Below are 17,851 nucleotides of genomic sequence, written 5' to 3' on the forward strand. Positions count from 1 at the left end.
ATATCGGTACAGTGCTATGTTCCTGACAGAAGCAAAAACATGTATACTCTGGAAGAAGTCATCTGTATTTTAAGCATCATGGAATGCCCATGAATAATTTTTCAAAAGCAATAAGGAGTACAGAGTCAAAGTAATCAAACACAAAACAAAGGTAGACACCATAACTTAAATAGCACGCAAAAATCAATTCCAGGTGGATTGAAAATCTAAGTGTAAAAGTCAAAACTCCAAAATGCTTAGAAGATGAATTGGACGAATATCTGCATGACCTTGGACTAGGATTTCCTTGAATAATATGTAAAAAGCTTTGACTTGAAAAAATAATAACGTTTGTGCATCAAAAGGCAATATAAATAGATTAAAAATAAAAGGCATAAACGTAAAAAAAATTAGTTAACATATGTGACTGATTTAGAACTAGTATTCATATTACACAAGAAATTCCTAAAAATCAATGTGAAAAAAGACAAATGACTCATTAGAAAATTAGAAAAAAGATTTAGCCAATTTGCAAAAGTGGAACTCAAAATGCCAAAAAGCACATGAAAAAATTTTCAACATCAATAATAATCAGGCAAATTTAAATTAAAACCACAATAAGACATTGCTACATAGTATGGGGATTGTCAATACTTTAAAAATCTAATATTGTCAAGTGGTAGGAAAAAAATGGAGCAACTGGAACATTCCTACACTGTTATGTCACTGTAAATTCATGTAATTACTTTGGAAAATAATTTGGCATTATCAAATAATGTCAACGATAGATATACCACATACTTACCAATTCTGCTGATAGGTATGCCTTAGAGAAACTCACACAGGATATATGTACAAGGAGGTTTCTAGAAGCATTATTCAAAATAACAAAAAATGGTATTGTACAATGGTACAGCAAAATGGATGAAAGCCACAAATTACATTGAGCAAAAAAAGTAGCAAGGATAAAGATAACAAGTAATGTTGAACAAGGGCAGCAACAAACATATATTAACTCAGTTTAATTTCAATTAACAAGCATGCAAAATTAAATTACATCTTTAGGGATGCACACATATGGAACACTACAGTTAAAATTAAAAAGAAAAGGAAATTAGCACCACAAAAGCCCAGGTAGTGGATGGCATAAAGAATTGTTCAGGAGAGTACAGGGAGACCTTCTGAAATGCCGGGAACGTCTATGTGTGGAGTGAGTGAAGGTGACACAGATGCTTCCTCATAATCATTTATGAAAAAAACCCACATATTAAGTTTGTACACTCTTCTTAAGTATGCATTATTCAAAACGAAAAAGGAAACACAGGAAATGGAGTACATAACATACACTAGCAATAGATAAGTATTTTTTTAAAGAAGCGTTACGATTATTCTCATTGATAGAACATCAATTAGGAAGAACAGAAGAATGCCTGAAATTATTTTCATGCTTATAATTTTTTGAAAACAATTAATATGTGACAGAAAAAAGAGATGAAAATTATATATAATAGCTGTTGGATACCTTCATTTGTCCTTGACCATGCCTTCTCTCTGAGAGCCTTTACTTCCTGACATGTTAAACCTATAAAAGGTAAAATAAAACAAAATAAAATATCTGCTTCCTGAGTCAAATATTCTGCCCTATATTGCACTAGTAAGGATACGGGAAGAAAATCAGCATCAGAATAAAGACATATAGGCTAAATTACATAAGAAAGGGCTGAAGGGGTAAGTAGGAGAGAAAGACAAAGTTTGATGGTGTTTCTCTGCAAAAGGGCATTTGATAGAAAACACTGCGGAAGAAAATGGAAAGTCATCTTGGGTGACATTCTGGGATGATAAATAGATTCACAATTTTAATAGAAGCTTTCTGTGTAATTTCTCTGTTTAGTGTTCAAGAGAACTTAAATGAAGGTTTAATCTAATTTCCAAAGTTATATATGGATTTAAAAAATCCAACAGTATGGTAAGATTGGCCTTATGACATAGCCCAGTTTATTGAAAAAATACAATACATGAAGAAAGATAAACGCAATTATTTACGCACGTCATAACTGCATCTCTAGAAAATCCTCAGTACAAAATCAAAGTGATTAAAGAGAGTTTACATACATGTGACATAAATAATACAGCATGATTTTTATAAAAGAAAAGACAGCATTGCCAACACCAATGACCTAAAAATATACCCTAAAGACATATCATTATAGTTACAAAAGTATAACTTATGTAGGAACATATTTAATAATTATATCTAGGCTTTAAAAAACTGTGGTAGTACAAAATATTACTAGAACATAAAAAAAGTTTAAACAAACAAGAATGTAAATTATGCTTCACATTAGGAAGATAAACATTGTAAAAGTATCTTTTTCCAGTTTAATAACCTATAAAAATATGAGGCCTACTTTATTTGTGACTTAATAATTATTTTTAAATTTTAAAAATGAGCAATAATATCAAAAAATCTAAAAATTATGGCAAATATGTGCATGTGTTTGTAGTGGAGAGAGGGCCTTGTCCTTTAAATATCTGAATATGTCTAATATTCTAAGGATATATTTCAAAGACTGTTGCAAGAAATAAATGTCTAGATCAATGAAAAGAAACAGTTTCTTCTCTATACAAAAACAGACATATGAAAATAAATTATATTCCATGATAAGATATGATACCCACAAAAATTAAAAATTTTGAAAAGCTATCAGATAATTTTATAAATATTTTAGGTATCTCAAAGAAATTTTTAAAAAATTTAGATTCAAACTAGAAAATCTACAATTTACAAATATAAAATTGAGATTTGTGCTAATAAGAAATCATCATATGAAATGCAAAAACAGAATATCCCGAAGTTCAGCATTCATAATGATTTTCCTAAATTACCAAGATAAATTATGATGTCTCTCTCCTTCAACACACAAGTTTCATGAGGGCAAGGAGTATATCTATTTATAGCCTCTGTATTTTCGGCAAGTAGCAAAGAACCCCAGACATAGTAAGTGTTAATACATATTTGCTGAATGAAAAATACAGTTAACTGGAGGAATGAGGGAACACATTAGAGTGAAATAATGACCACACCAAGAATACAAGCATACCTCGGAGATATTGTAAGTTCAGTTCTAGACAACTGCAATAAAGTGAGTCATACAAAGTGTTTGGTCTCCAAAAGCATATAAAAGTTATATTTTATACTGTAGTCTATTAAGTGTGTGATAATATTATATCTAAAACAATAAAATATTTCTAAACATTGTCTAAATATTGTTTATGTCTAAACAATAAAAAGATACTTTAATTAACAATATTTCCGTTTTAAAAAGTTAATGATTGGCCAAGGTGGGTGGATCACCTGAGGTCAGGAGTTTGAGACCAGCCTGACCAACAAGGTGAATCCCTGTCTTTACTAAAAATACAAAAATTAGCTGGACGTGGTGGCAGGCGCCTGTAGTCCCAGCTACACGGGAGGCTGAGACAAGACAATTGCTTGAACCCGCAAGGCGGAGGTTGCGCTGAGCTGAGATCACGCCACTGCACTCCAGCCTGGGCAACAGAGCAAGACTGTCTTAAAAAAAAAAAAAAAAAGTTAATGGTCATGTGAGCCTTCAGCAAGTCATAATCTTTTCACTGATGGAGGGTCTTGCCTCAATGTTGATGGCTGCTGACTGATCAAGGTGGTGGTTGCTGAAGGTTGGAGTGTCTGTGGTTATTTCTCAAAGTAGGACAATGAAGTTTTCCTCATGGATTAACCCTTTTACAAAAGATTTCTTTGTAGCGTGTGATGCTGTTTAATAGCATATTATGCACAGCAGAACTTCTTTCAAAAAGGAAGCCAATCCTCTCAAACCCTGTTGTTAATTTGCCAATTATGTTTATGCAGTATTGTAAATATTTTGTTGTCATTTCAACAATGCCTACAGTATCTTCACCAGGAATAGAGTTCATCTCAGGAAACCACTTTCTTTGCTCATTCCCAAGAAGCAACTTCTCATCCATGAAACTTTTATCATGAGATTGCAGCAATTCAGTCGCATCTTCAGGCTACACTTCGAATTCCAGTTCTCTTGCTCTTTCCACCACATCTTCAGTAACTTCCTCCACTGAAGTCTTGAATCCCTCAAAGTCATCCAGGAGACTTGGAAGCAACTTCTTCCAAATTCCTGTTAATGGTATTTTGACCTTCTCTCATGAATCATGAATATTCTCAATGGTGTACACATGTACACTTTCCTCAAGGTTTTTTATTTATTTTACCCAGATCCATCAGAGGAGTCACTATCTATGGTAGCTATAGCTTTATGAAATGCATTTTTAACTAATAAAACTTGGAAGTTAAAATTACCCCTTGATCCACAGGCTGCAGGATGGATATTGTGTAGGCAGGTATGAAAACATTAATCTACTCGTACATCTCCATTTCACCTCTTGGATGTATATGTTGTCAGTGGAAGTAATATTTTAAAGAAATTTTTTTTTTTTTTTTTTTGAGCAGTAGGTCTCCATAGTGGCCTTAAAACATTCAGTAAACCACGGTACAAACAGATGTACTGTCATTTAGCCTTTGTTGGTTCATTTATAGCACACAGGCAGAGGAGATTTAACATAATTCTTAAGGGCCCTAGGATTTTTAGAATGGTAAATGAGCATTAACTTCAACATAAAGTCACCAGTTGCATTAGTTTCTGACAAAAGACTCAGCTTGTCCTTTCAAGCTTTGAAACCAGGCATTTATTTCTCCTCCCCAGCTATGAAAGTTCTTCTAAGGCTGTTTTGCCTACATTGAAAATCTGTTGTTTAGCATGTTCACCTTCATCAATTAGCTTAGCCAGATTTTCTGGATAACTTGCTGCAGCTTCTGCATCAGCACTTGCTGCTTCACTGTGCACTTTCATGCTATGGAGATGACTTTTTTCCTTAGACTTCATGAACCAACTTCTGCAAGCTTCCAACTTTCCCTCTGCAGCTTCTTCACCTCTCTTAGCCTTTATAGAACTGAATAGAGTTAGGGCCTTGCTCTTGATTAAGCTTTTGTTTAAGGGAATGTTGTGTCTGGTTTGATCTTCTATCCAGACCACTAAAACTTTCTTCGTATCAGCAATAAGGGTGTTTTGATTTATCATTCCTGTGTTCACTGGAGTAGCACGTTTAATTCCCTTCAAGAACTTTTCCTTTGCATTCACAACTTGGCTAACAGCTCAGCACAAGAGACTATGTTTTCAGTCTATCTCAGCTTTCAACATGCCTTTCTCACTAAGTTTAATCATTTCTAGCTTTTGATTTAAAGTGAGAGACACATAATTCTTCCTTTCCCTTGAACTCTTAGAGGGCATTGTAAGGTTATTAATGGCCTAAGTACAAATATTGTTATGTCTCAGGGAACAAAGAGGCTACAGGAGAGAGAAATAGATGTGGGGGACAGACAGTGGAACAGTAAGAACACATGCAACATTGATCGATTAAGTTAGCTGTCATATGTGTGTAGTTCATGTTACACCAAAACAATTACAATAGTAACAACAAATACCACTGATCACAGATCACCATAACAGATAAAAATAATGAAAAAGTTTTTGAAATATTGCAGGAAGTATTAAAATGTGACATTGATACATGAAGTTTTTCTACATGTTGTTAGAAAAATGCTGCCCATAGACTTGCTGGAAACAGAGTTGCCACAAACCTCAAATTAAAACAAAACAAAACAAAACACAGGATCTGTAAAGTGCAATAAAGTGAAGTGCAATAAAACGAGAGGTGCCTATAGTCAGTTTCTACAAAGAGTTGCACATGAAACAGACCCTGAAAAACATTGGTTCAAATAAATTCATGCTCTAATTCATGTTTCTGCCTTGGTGGATAACTGTATTGTTATACAATATTCCAGTTACAAAATTCCAATAGAATGTATTCATCAAAACCACTCTATCAGTAAACAAATTTTCTAATGTAAATTCCTAATGAACTACAGAATTTAAAATTTTTCAAAATATATTAAAATTATAAAAATTAACATGATATATAACATTTAGTCATGCGTTTAGATTTAATAATTTAACAATATATTAAAAATGATACTTTTATCTTCTTTGACTCAAGACAGAAGTTCAAAGGTAGATGGGCAATTATTTTCACTAAATATGACACAAAAAGAAATAATATATAAAGGCTTCAGGTTTTATTTATATAAGTTGAAAACGTTAACTATTAACAATCCATCATCAGAAGGTCCAAATGAGAGAAGATTAAATAATTAAATGAACACATGGAAATTATTTATATTCTTTGGTAATAAAAATGTAAAGTAGAGCAATTGTGGTCATTTTCTATTTAATAAACTAGCTATTTAATAATAATCAAATAAAATCTGGTATTAATATGTTGTGGTAATACTGATAAACAGTTGAATGTGAGGTACATTTGTGGAAAACAATATAAAATAAATATTGAAGGCCACACAAATGTTCACAGCCTATGTCCCCCAAATTTCAATTCTGAATACTTAACTTGAAACAAAAACCCACAAAAGACAAAAGTTAAAAAGAGATATCAGAGAAAATGATAAAGACCTTTGAAAAATCTACCTCTCCATAAATACAAAGATTTAAAAAGGCGAAATTGTCAAAATCAACATTTTCAGAATTCCAGAAATATAGCAAAGGCTTCCAGCAACTGTGTGAACAACTATTCAAGAAAAACAGATAAATCTTGGTAAGAACACAAACATTTGTGGCTTCTTAACTTTCCTTGGTCCCAGCCCTGACTCTGAAGGTCAACAGAGCCTTGAAAAATAAAGGTCCACATTTACGATATCGGAGGAGGAAGAAGAGAGTTGCAGTTTTTTGCAAGCCTCATTCCTAAAGAACTGTCATTTTTAGAAATACCTGGTTATTCCCTGCAAGACTTCACTTCTAAAGCTGTGAGCATGATCAGGAAAAAGTCAGGCTAATATTATCGGAAAGAAGAGATTTAAAGGAATTAGCATCTATCAAAGTCCAACTCTTCTAGAGATATCTTACATTTCTGAGATATGAGAATTTACATATTACACTTATCTATTCAGTGGTTCTTAACCAGAATAGTATCCAGATTTTGAGGACTTTGTTGTTGTTGTTACTGTTAGAGGAAGGGTCTCATTATGTCGCCCAGGCTACATTCAAACTCCCAAGCTCAATCAGTCCTCCCATCTCAGCCTCCCAAGCAGCTGGGACTACAGCTGCTGCACCGCCATGCCTGGCTTCAAGGAAATATTTGTAAACATACATGTCCACGCTTTATTAGACTTACTCTATCAAAATCTTCAGGGGAGAGCCTAGACTTGTAGATTTTTTTAAATTTTTCTGCAGGTTACTGTGATGCACAATTCTAGTTGAGAACTAGTGCAATAGACAATTACTTCAGTCTCATCTCTCACCCATATAACCAAATCCCTTTATCATTTGAGGATTTGGCACACACACAGAAAAGACCCATGAAAGCCCTAATCTCTCACCTCTGGTTGACCTTGAGACTCTGCATGTGCCAGAAGGAAAGGCTAAGGCTGAGCTGTCAAGTCCTTGGATGAGTGTTGAAGATGTATCTGAACATGCACATAAAGATGCTCAGCAAAGACAGAGATTTGATTCCAGGAATCTAGAGAAATATCTGTTCCGCCATTAATTGACCATTAAGCCAACTGGATAGAGATTTCAGTGAGTGGCCACAGAGGGCTTCAGAGAACTAATTTAGAAAAGTTGCTAAATTAACAACTACAAAAATCAGCAGGGAAAGCAAACCCTAGAGAAGAAGAACAATCTGATGACCACAGGTTCTCACGTTCTATTATTTTAAATGCCCAGTTTTCAACAAAAATGTATGACATCCAAAAAAAAAAAAAACCGGACAAATGGTTCATACAGAGGAATAAAGCAAATAGACTTTTGTCAAAATCAGTTTGGATACTACAGTTACACTTTGATACATAAAAATCTTGAAAGTCAGCATTCGGTTTCTCTTAAAAGAAAAAGCTGAACGGAAATACTCAACAATTTTTCTTAGGTCCATCAGTGAATTAAGGTTACAATGTAAACTGACACCCCAAAAACTGGAGGGTCAGGCTAATGCAGAAGTTGCTGGAGCCAAAAATGGGTAGAGAAGTGTAAGATCTAATTGATTAACTATTGGAGGCTGAGTGTGGACTAGTTTGAGAGTTAAAAACTTCTGGGGAGTCAGTATTAGAGGGCCAGGTATATTTTTACTTTTATCTCCAGCTCCACCTTGTTCTCACAGTTGAAATTTGAGGAATACTCCTTTCGACTTCTAGAAGAAGGGGAAAAGTAGTTATTTTGAATTATTGCCAGGGTAAAAATTGCCATTTTGAAATATACCCAGAAGGTTTGGTTTACCACTACCCCTCAAGGGAAACTACCTTAACAGAGACTAACCAATGGAAAGAGGGAAATATTCACTTCAGCCCCTCTAGACTTCTTGTTAAACCTAAGGTGAAAAGAAATCTGAGAAGCATGAGATAACATTATGCATTTGTCAAAACCCAGAGATCTGTACCACAAAAGAATGAGTCATGGACCTTAGTTCATAAAAATGTATCAATATTGGTTTATCAACTTTAACAAATACACAACACTAATGCAAGATGTTAATAATATTGGAAATTGTGAATGTGGGTTAGGAGATAGTGAGTATATGAGAGCTCTGTATTATGTACCAGTTTTCTATAAACCTGAAAATACTCTAAAGACAGTCTACTAATTAAAAAAAAAAATAAGTGAAATGTCACTTCACAGCCACTAGGAGGCTATAATAATAAAGTAAAAACAAACCAAGAAACTAATAACTGTTGGTAGGGATGTGGAGAAACTGGAGTCCATGTATTTTGTATTATGAAATGTAAACTATGGCTGCTTCTGTGGAAAGCAATTTGGCAATTACTAATAAAGTTAAACACTGAAATTACAAAATGACCCAGCAATTCCATTCCTAACTATACACCCAACAGGAATGAAAACATATGTTTGCATAAAAACTTGTATTCAAATATTCATAGCAGCATTATTCATAATATTCCTAAAACAGAAACAACTAAAACATCTATCTACTGATGAATGTATAAACAATAGGTGGAATATCCATAAAGAATAATAGTATTCAGTCATACAAAGGAATTAAATATGAATACATTTTACAACATGGATGAACCTTGACAGCATTATCTTGGTTGAAAAGGTGAAAGGCATGCAGAGCCAACTATTTTATAAAATCATTGATATGAAATATCTAGAGTAAACAAATCCATAGAGCAAGAAAACAGATTTGTGGTTCCAGAGGCTGGGTAGAGGAGGAATGGGGAAAGAATGCTAGTGGTACAGGGTTTCTTTCAGTGGTTATGAAAGTGTTCTAGAAATAGATAGTGGTAATGGCCACACAAACTTATACTAAAAATTCTAAATTGTAAACTTTAGAAAGGTAAATTTTATGCTATGTGAATTGTAGCTTAATTTTAAAAAGCTAAACACAGTATCACTTAGCATATATGCCAAAATAGAACAATAGTTATTTAAATTATGATAAAGAAGACTGAGAACTATTATTCAATAAAAACGTAATTATCAAGAATTACAAAAATGTATGTTATTTATATAATTTAAATTTTAAAATTATACTTATAATGCATCTGTATAAATACATCTATATCCATTAAAAGATAATGTATATGAAAGAAAACAGTAGTGTTTTACTATTAGGCATGTCATATTTTTTGTATTTCCAAAATTTTTATATTCTAGTAAAATTTTAAACAGTAAAAAACAAAAAATAAAAAATCCTTTGGAATCTACATAAGAATACTAAGTTGATTATAATTAGATGAAAATAAAATTGGTATGATTTGATGTCAAATGACAATTAGATAATACATTTAAGATACTCTCATAAACAAAAAATAAATTATATAAAAAAGTAAGCCAAATAATTTATCAAATAAAACTGTCATTCAAGTATATAGGCCAGAGATAATTGCTATGAACATTCAAGAAATGAAAGAATATATTTCCTGGGATCCCTTTCTGAATCCACTAGAAAGTAGATGTAGTACAACAAAAATGAAGGGAGAAATTTGGCATAGTACAGGCAGTGAATCTTGAATATGTTAGCTTTTTAACTAATATCGAAGGATGGGAAAAGTATAATAGGCTGGAAGGCTTATGTACTTATGCTCTGACAATGCAGATCCAGTACTGATGATGCAGATACAGTACTAGTACCAAAAATATGGTGTTGGGTGTGGAGTGGGAGTATATGCAAAATACAATAAGAATACTATATAAGTATAAGCCAGGAATAAAACAATATTCCTTAATTAAATGATAGGAAGACGGAATGCAAAGGCAAGAAAAGCTTCCTAGCTGATTTTGGTATTGCTCATAATAAAGATCCAATACACATTATCTAAGAGAGAGAGAAGTAAGATATTAGTATCATAAACTTTTCTAAGTGTTAAAAAGGACAGCAAATAATGTACAAAATACATATGTATAAATGCATTTAAATATAAAAATGTAATGAAAATGAAACTTTATGAGTCTTATTTGTAATTGTAAACGGGCTTAAATCATCAATAGTTAAGTGAACTGTAAAAATATGTTGTATACATCACACAAAGTGATTCAGAAAGTTTTAATTTAAGTGATGGGCAGAAATATACTAGGCAAATCAATAGAAAATACAGCAATTGTCATGATCTTTATATCTGACAACATAGAATTCTGATCAAAGAATATAGTGGGGCAAGTTTAAATATTTCATAATATGAAAGACTACTATATAAAATAATAGTATTACAGCTCATAACATTTATGCACCTAATTACATGGGACCAAATTTGAGGAGATGAAAAGAGAAACAGAAAAATCTACCAAAAGTAGGTAGATTAACAGATTTCTCTCAATCTAATAAAGATTGAAAGGATAAAAATTAGTAAAAACATATAGTAGATCTCAGTGACATAATCCATAAGGATGATCTTATAGATATTATACTCTTAACCAAAATATTTCATAGGTCTAAATAATATATGTCAAAAATAAATCAAAACCAATTAAATCTAAAAGTTATAGCAAGTCTATAATCCATACTTTCCCATGGGGAGTAAAGGAGAGGCCCCCAAAGAAAGGAAACAGGTAACCAGGTCAAATCTCCTAACAAACATGCTAATAACAGAAATTCTGGCAAACATACTAATTGACGTTTGTTAACTGGAGAGTTCTTATCAACAGAAAGCTTTCAGCAGGATGTTTTTGGCTGTTTGAATTATAACCATAAACAAACCTGAACCTACGTGTTTACGGGATATGGCTCCCTGAAAAACATCATGTTAACTATTAAACTACCTTAATAAAAAATGGAGCTGTTTCATGACTAGAGGGCAGTCTTCTGAATGAGTCGCATGGCTGCACATACATGCTTAAACACATAATTCTTTAATCTGGAGCAGAGTACATCCAACCAGGTGAGACAGGACCTGGAGAGCTGTTCTGATGGTCCCAGATGTCTCCCTGCTTCAACTGTACTTGAGAATTTCCTATAGCCTTAAAATCGTTAGCAAAGATACACACTTTATATGAGTCTGATTTGATTTGACTCTCCAATCCTTTTTATTATCTCTATGTTATTTCAAGGGAAACTTACAGCTTGACATAACTATATTAAAAAAGAAAAAAGCCTGAAAATTAGCGATCTAAGCAACCAAATTTAAAATATGTGGGACAGCAAACTCAAAGAAAGTAGAAGGAAGAGAAGGAAGGTAATAATATCCCAAATTCATAAAATACAAAGCAAAATAACAACAAAAACCTACAGATAATCCAAAAGTTTTGATATTAGCAATTTGAAAAGGTTAACACAAATGAATTACCTCTGGCAAGACTGTCAAGACTAAACAGAGAACCAGAAGAAACAAAAACAGTATTATGAATGTAAAGAAGAAACAACTGCATATAGAGAGATATAAAAGTAAAGACTATTATTAACACTATTGTACAACAGTATTGTAAACATTTAATATTTAACCAAATAGATTTTTAAAAGAAAAAATTATAACTTGCTAATCAATAGTGAATAGAAGATAAACAGAAAGCTTGAGTAGTACTAAGGCCAATAAATATTTTGTATCAATAATTATATCCCTCCAAATTAAGAGGTAATTTTAGCCAAATACTCCAGAAAAAAAATAATAAAAATATATTATCTTTTTTGGAGAACAGAAAATAAAGAAGCACTCTATAATTCAATCTAGAAGTAATAAAACCCTCATTACCAAAACAAGAAATGTTCAGAAAACCTAGGGGCCAATGTTACTGAATAAGAAAGATGCAAACATCCTAAACAAATGATTATGAAACAAAATCTACAAATATATTAAAATACAGTAAAATTTAAAAAGTTGTTTGTCCCAGAAATGAAGTTTATTTAAAAGTTGTAAATCCATGTATGCAAGTCATTAAATTTAAAGATTAAAGGAAAAAAAAGTCCAGAAAAATGTTAGTAGATGTAGAAAAAGTATTAATAAAATTCACAACAGGTTCACAATTTATAGAAAATTATAAAGAATGATCTTTACAAACCATAAAAAAAATTAATGGCAAAACATTAAAAGTCTCACTTTAAAAATCATGAACAGGAAGATGTGTGCACATTTTAGTCACCTTCATTCAACAGGGCACACACACAAAAAACCAGCCTAGTGATAGAGAAGAAAATGGGAAAAAATTACATTGAGAAGAAAGTAAAAATTAAAACTTACTATTTTCAAATGATTTAACAAACATTAGTGAATAGGAGAGTTAAACTTGTTAGATGAAATAAAATATATAGAACTGTATATGTATTACATTAATATTTATATGTAATATATAAAATTAAATGAGATTTGGAAGAGATGAGTGAACACCAGGTTCTATTCTTTAAGCCAAATTATAAGTGCACAAATATATAATTTTATCAATATTCTTTAAACTTTACATGTATTTTCCAGATATGTTTACACATGCAAAGTATTTTCTATTTTAAAATATCAAAACACTATTCTGTAAAAAAATTCATTCTCTGCCTGTTATACAGAAAACATGTTATGGAAAAGACACATTGGAAAAACCTTAATAAATAAACGCACTATCAGTATTTTGATACAAATAAATGTGATGCTGCCATGAAATGCAGTTTTGTATTTAGAGAAAATACTGCCTGCAAAGCCAAAAAATTATAGTTTGTTAAAAGGTCCTGTTAATTGCAATAAAAATTGTTAGCCCAAACAGAGCTAACCATTTGTAAATGTGACTCATCTGAAAATACTATTGGTCAGCTTGTTTAAGATATATGGCTGTAATTTTACAGAACAATTTGAAAAAGATTGGTAATTTGTTTTATGATTTATGTCAACTGAGAACACAGAATAATCATCCAGTTAATTATTTTTATTTTTATTGTTTGTTTTTTGAGACAGGGTCTTGCTCTTCACCCAAGCTGGAGTGCAGAGCCGCATGCGACATCTGCCTCCTTGGTTCAAGGGATCCTCCTATCTCACAGCTTCCCAGTAGCTGGGACTACAGGCATATACCATCAGGCCTGGCTAATTTTCGTATTTTTTGTAAAGACAGGGTTTCACTCTGTTTCCCAAGCTGGTCTCCAACTCCTGGTCTCAAGTGATCCACCCACCTCACCCTCCTGAAGTGTTGGGATTACAGGCATGAGCCACTGCGCCTGGCCCCATTAATTATTTTTAGAATGGTGAGAGTTTCCATATGATTGCAGTAGTTACATCATGAACGAAAGAACATCAAAAAATGATTTTATTTCGGATAATTTTAAAAGTGTTATTATGCTGAATGTACTTTCACAGAAGTTAGTAAATATGACCTCCCATGGTGTTCTTGTGATAGAATTAATGACAAACTTTTTCAAAAGTTAGTATATAATACATAATTAAAATCTTCAAAGACATAGCAATAAACACTGGCATAAACACACAGGACTGATAAATTCCTGTGGCTTAAACACAGAAATTTCAATGCTTTTCTGGATTAGCTGTATGTTGTTTATAATGGCTGGTTGTCTTACATACAGAATAGGAAATCTGATGATGGTGTGAAGCCAAAGTGACAAAAGTAAATTTTAACTGATAATCCCCATTGATGTTAGCATTTCAAATATGGCTTTTAATGTCACTTAAATACAAAAGTCCTAAACTTGCTCACCAAGCACATTTTAAAAGACAATTTATTAACTATATTCTTTTCCAAAGTGTTAGCCAAACAGACATATTTTCATTTCTTATGCATTTACAGATGTCTATATCACAGAAGACTTACATTCCATTAAATCATGTGATATGTAGTTTTATCTGCTATGTATATCTATTGCATCAAATGATGGTGGGTGGCTTAAGTCATGCTTAATATGATTGACTTTCTAGCTTTTGCTTGCAAACGAGTGTAGACTGGATCATTTTCTGTTCCAATTTAGAATAGGCTTTGTCAAGTCATTCAAAGGAAAATCACCAGCGCAGCTCTCTGAAGTCTTGGAACAAACTATTAGTCTTTTTAATTCGCATTATAATCAACCCCAAAACTTTCAGTTCTTTCAACTATTTAAATATGAGTTACACACCTGTATGATTCTCTGTTCATTCCAAATTGTGTTTTTGGGGAAATTATTTTAAATGAATAACTTGTTCCATGTTACTAATCTGAGATTGGGATCAATTTCCAGAAATAAAAACAAGCTTTTGCTTAAGCTTTACAAAACAAACTCTATAAATGAAAATGAAATAACATTTTTTTTCAATTAATGTTGATAGAAGAAATAAAGAGCTACAAACCAAGGTTTTTCAAATATTTTGAAAATATGTGGTGATGAAATAAGATTCTAACCCAAGGCTAATAATTTTAAATAAAATCCATTCTGTCATGACCTTATTCACGTTTGGAATTACTAAATGACTGCTTTCAATTATAACCCTGAAGAAAATTGTAGTAAGTTGATTGCAATAATAACCCCAATAATTTTCTCCTCCCCGTATTCACTTTCCTTTGCAGTGTGACTTTGCAGCATCTTCCATCAAGAGGTGGAGTCTAATCTCCTACCCATAGATCTGTGCCAGTTCTGTGATTTGCTTTGATCAATAAAATGTGACAGAAATGATAGGGCACCAGTTCTGCGCATTGGCCTGAAGAGGTCTTCTGTGCTTCTGTCCCTCCTCTTGAAACTGCCAAAACCCAGAGATCAAGCCCCTTAATAGTATGCTGGAATATGAGAGACAAGCAAGTGCAGAGCTGAATCAGCCTAATTTTCCCAGCCAAGACCCTAGACCTGTAAACGAGCTCAGCCAAAATAAGCAAGATCAGTAATGGTACTGAATTAACCTGTGGCTTACTCCAGATGCATGAGTGAGCTGTACTGAGCCCACCTGATATCAGCAGAACCATCCAGCCGACTCATGCACAAGTGAGCATAAAATGAATGTTCATGATGCTGTATGCACCTGCATTTTTATGGTTGGTTGTTACATAGCATCAGTGCAGCAGTGATAACTGATACAAAGACTACCTATTGTTCTCAAAGTATTCAAGGTTAAGTTCTATACCAGGGTTGGCAAATGTTTTCTGGAAAGCATCAGATAGTAAAAATTTTAGATTTTGTGGGCCAAATGCAGTCTCTGTTGCATATTCCTTATTGTCTTCTTTTTTCTTTTCTTTTCACAACTCCTTACAAATATAAAAACCATTCTTAATTTGGGGTCTGTAAATAAAAGGCTGCTGGCCAGATTTGGGCAATGGGCTATAATTTACTGACCTCTGTTTTATATCATGCAAAGATATGACATTGCTAACATGATACAGAATAAAAGATGTCAGAGCTCAAGATGCAAAAAAATAAAGTAATGCAATAAAATCATATAATTTTAAAAATAGAATTATATTAGTATTTTCATTTTTAATATTCCATGTTTAGCTTCAGTGATGTGATAGTAAAAGTTTAATATCCAGCTGTTAGTTGGTAATAAATACTAACACCATGGCCAATTTGAAGTTACCAGTGGAATGGAATCGAGAAGAGATATATACAAGAGCTGATTACAGCACACCATTGTTGTACTGCTTACCTATTTTATTACCTATAACACAGTTCATCCATAATTATAAAATAAACTGATTATAATTCAGATAATGTGTTTTTGTTACGCTGACTCACTCTTTTCTCTTAGCTCACTTTACTGGTCCCAGTAAGTTTTGGTTTTGTGACCATTATCTTGGAAAAGATTACTATCTTTGCAGTTGCCCTCCTCTGTAAGTGATGTGAATTCCATTTATCTATGAACTATTTTCAAAGAAAATCAATTTATGATAAACTTACCTATATTGGTTTGATCATCTCTAGTGGAAGAAGAGGAAACTGTCTTGTTTTCAGTCATAGTTATAAGAATATTTTAAAACCTAATTAGAAAGAAAAATATTTAAATATCATGAATCTAAATTAGTTTATATTTAATTTTACTAAAAATTGTCAATTCAAGAACTGATAGTGTAAAATGTAAGGATGTAAAATGTAAGGAAGTCCAACAATGTACTCTTTTTCTTATTAGGACTATTACGATCTCATTCAGAAATATCAAATATAAAAATCTTCATTAAAGAGGGATCTTTGATCTTCTACTTTGCTAGTGACTTAAACCAATACCTAGGCTGACTACGAGATAATTTAGCATTGGCAATTGTAGCTATGGGTTCACAGCCCTGGGGGGATTCTAGAACCTACAATGTTTTCATTTCATATAATAAAAGTTTAACTTTACTACCATCTATCTCTTCTTTACCTTCCTTCAGTTCCTTTTTAAAATATTTTAAGAGTAGAGCAAAAAGTGCAATGGATTTCTATATCTCCATCAACCAATTTCAACAATTATCAATTTGTGACCAATTCTGAATTCTATACACCTACAAACTGCCCTGTCTCACCTACTTCTGATAATGGTTAAGCAAAACACAAGTATCATATTATTGTATCTGTAAATATTTCAAAAAATTTTTAAACATAGCCATAATACCAATAATGTAATTAACACAATTAATGATGTCTTAATATCACTAAACATATTTTGTGTTCACATTTGTCTCACATTTTCTGTTTTTAAGAATTGTTTAAAGCAATAATACAAACAAGGTCCGTACATAGCATTTAAGTGAAATGTCTCTTAATTATCTTTTAGTCTATGCGTTCTCCCTGTACTTTTTTTCTCCCTGTACTTTACCTAAGTAAATATCAAATATTTTGTCCTATAGAGTTTTCCACATCGCTAACAACCTCCCTGTGCTGTATTTAACAAGTTTCTCTGTTCCCTATAATTCCTGCAAATTGGTATTAATTAGAAACTCAAAGTGCTGAACAGAAAGAAAATAATTCTATAAACACAGAAATAACAATTGTCTCATTTAATTTGCAGATCTAAATCATTATATAGTTTAGATACTGGAAATCATCTAATTTATTTTTTGTTTGTTTGTTTTACAAGTCAGAAAATCTTGACTGAAATTAGTAAATTAATGCAATGAAAAAAGACTTCTTAGACAAAAGTGCTATGAAAGAAAACCCTAAATCCAAGCCTAGTGCTCTTCCAAATAAACCACTCTACCTCATAAAGACCAACTTTTAAAGAAAAGTAAGCTATAGAAAAGAGCATAACTAAATGTTGAGAGAACATAACAGTGTTTTATGGACATTAACATTTTTTAATTCAATGAAGATTATAGTTAAAACATATAATTTTATTTCTTCTACTACACAAAATTACTGGAAAAATTAAATAATATTAATAAGAAAATGA

The 17,851-nt window shown here is 32.2% G+C and overlaps 1 protein-coding gene across 8 annotated transcripts in view; it reads right to left on the reverse strand.

The window, feature by feature from the left end:
• The window catches only part of CCDC178 (coiled-coil domain containing 178), a 503,635-nt gene that overhangs the window by 458,242 nt on the left and 27,542 nt on the right, over nt 1-17,851 (reverse strand). For all 8 annotated transcript variants that reach the window (NM_001371120.1, NM_198995.3, XM_011525951.2 and 5 more), the window contains exons 3-4: nt 16,384-16,463; nt 1,502-1,561 (exon numbers count right to left, since the gene is read on the reverse strand). In NM_001371120.1, the coding sequence (NP_001358049.1) occupies nt 1,502-1,561; nt 16,384-16,441 (118 nt within the window). In that variant the 5' untranslated portion in view covers nt 16,442-16,463. The remainder of the gene's footprint in view (nt 1-1,501; nt 1,562-16,383; nt 16,464-17,851) is intronic.

This window comes from Homo sapiens, chromosome 18 (assembly GCF_000001405.40).
Source record: "Homo sapiens chromosome 18, GRCh38.p14 Primary Assembly".
In the NCBI taxonomy this organism is placed as follows: Eukaryota; Metazoa; Chordata; class Mammalia; order Primates; family Hominidae; genus Homo; species Homo sapiens.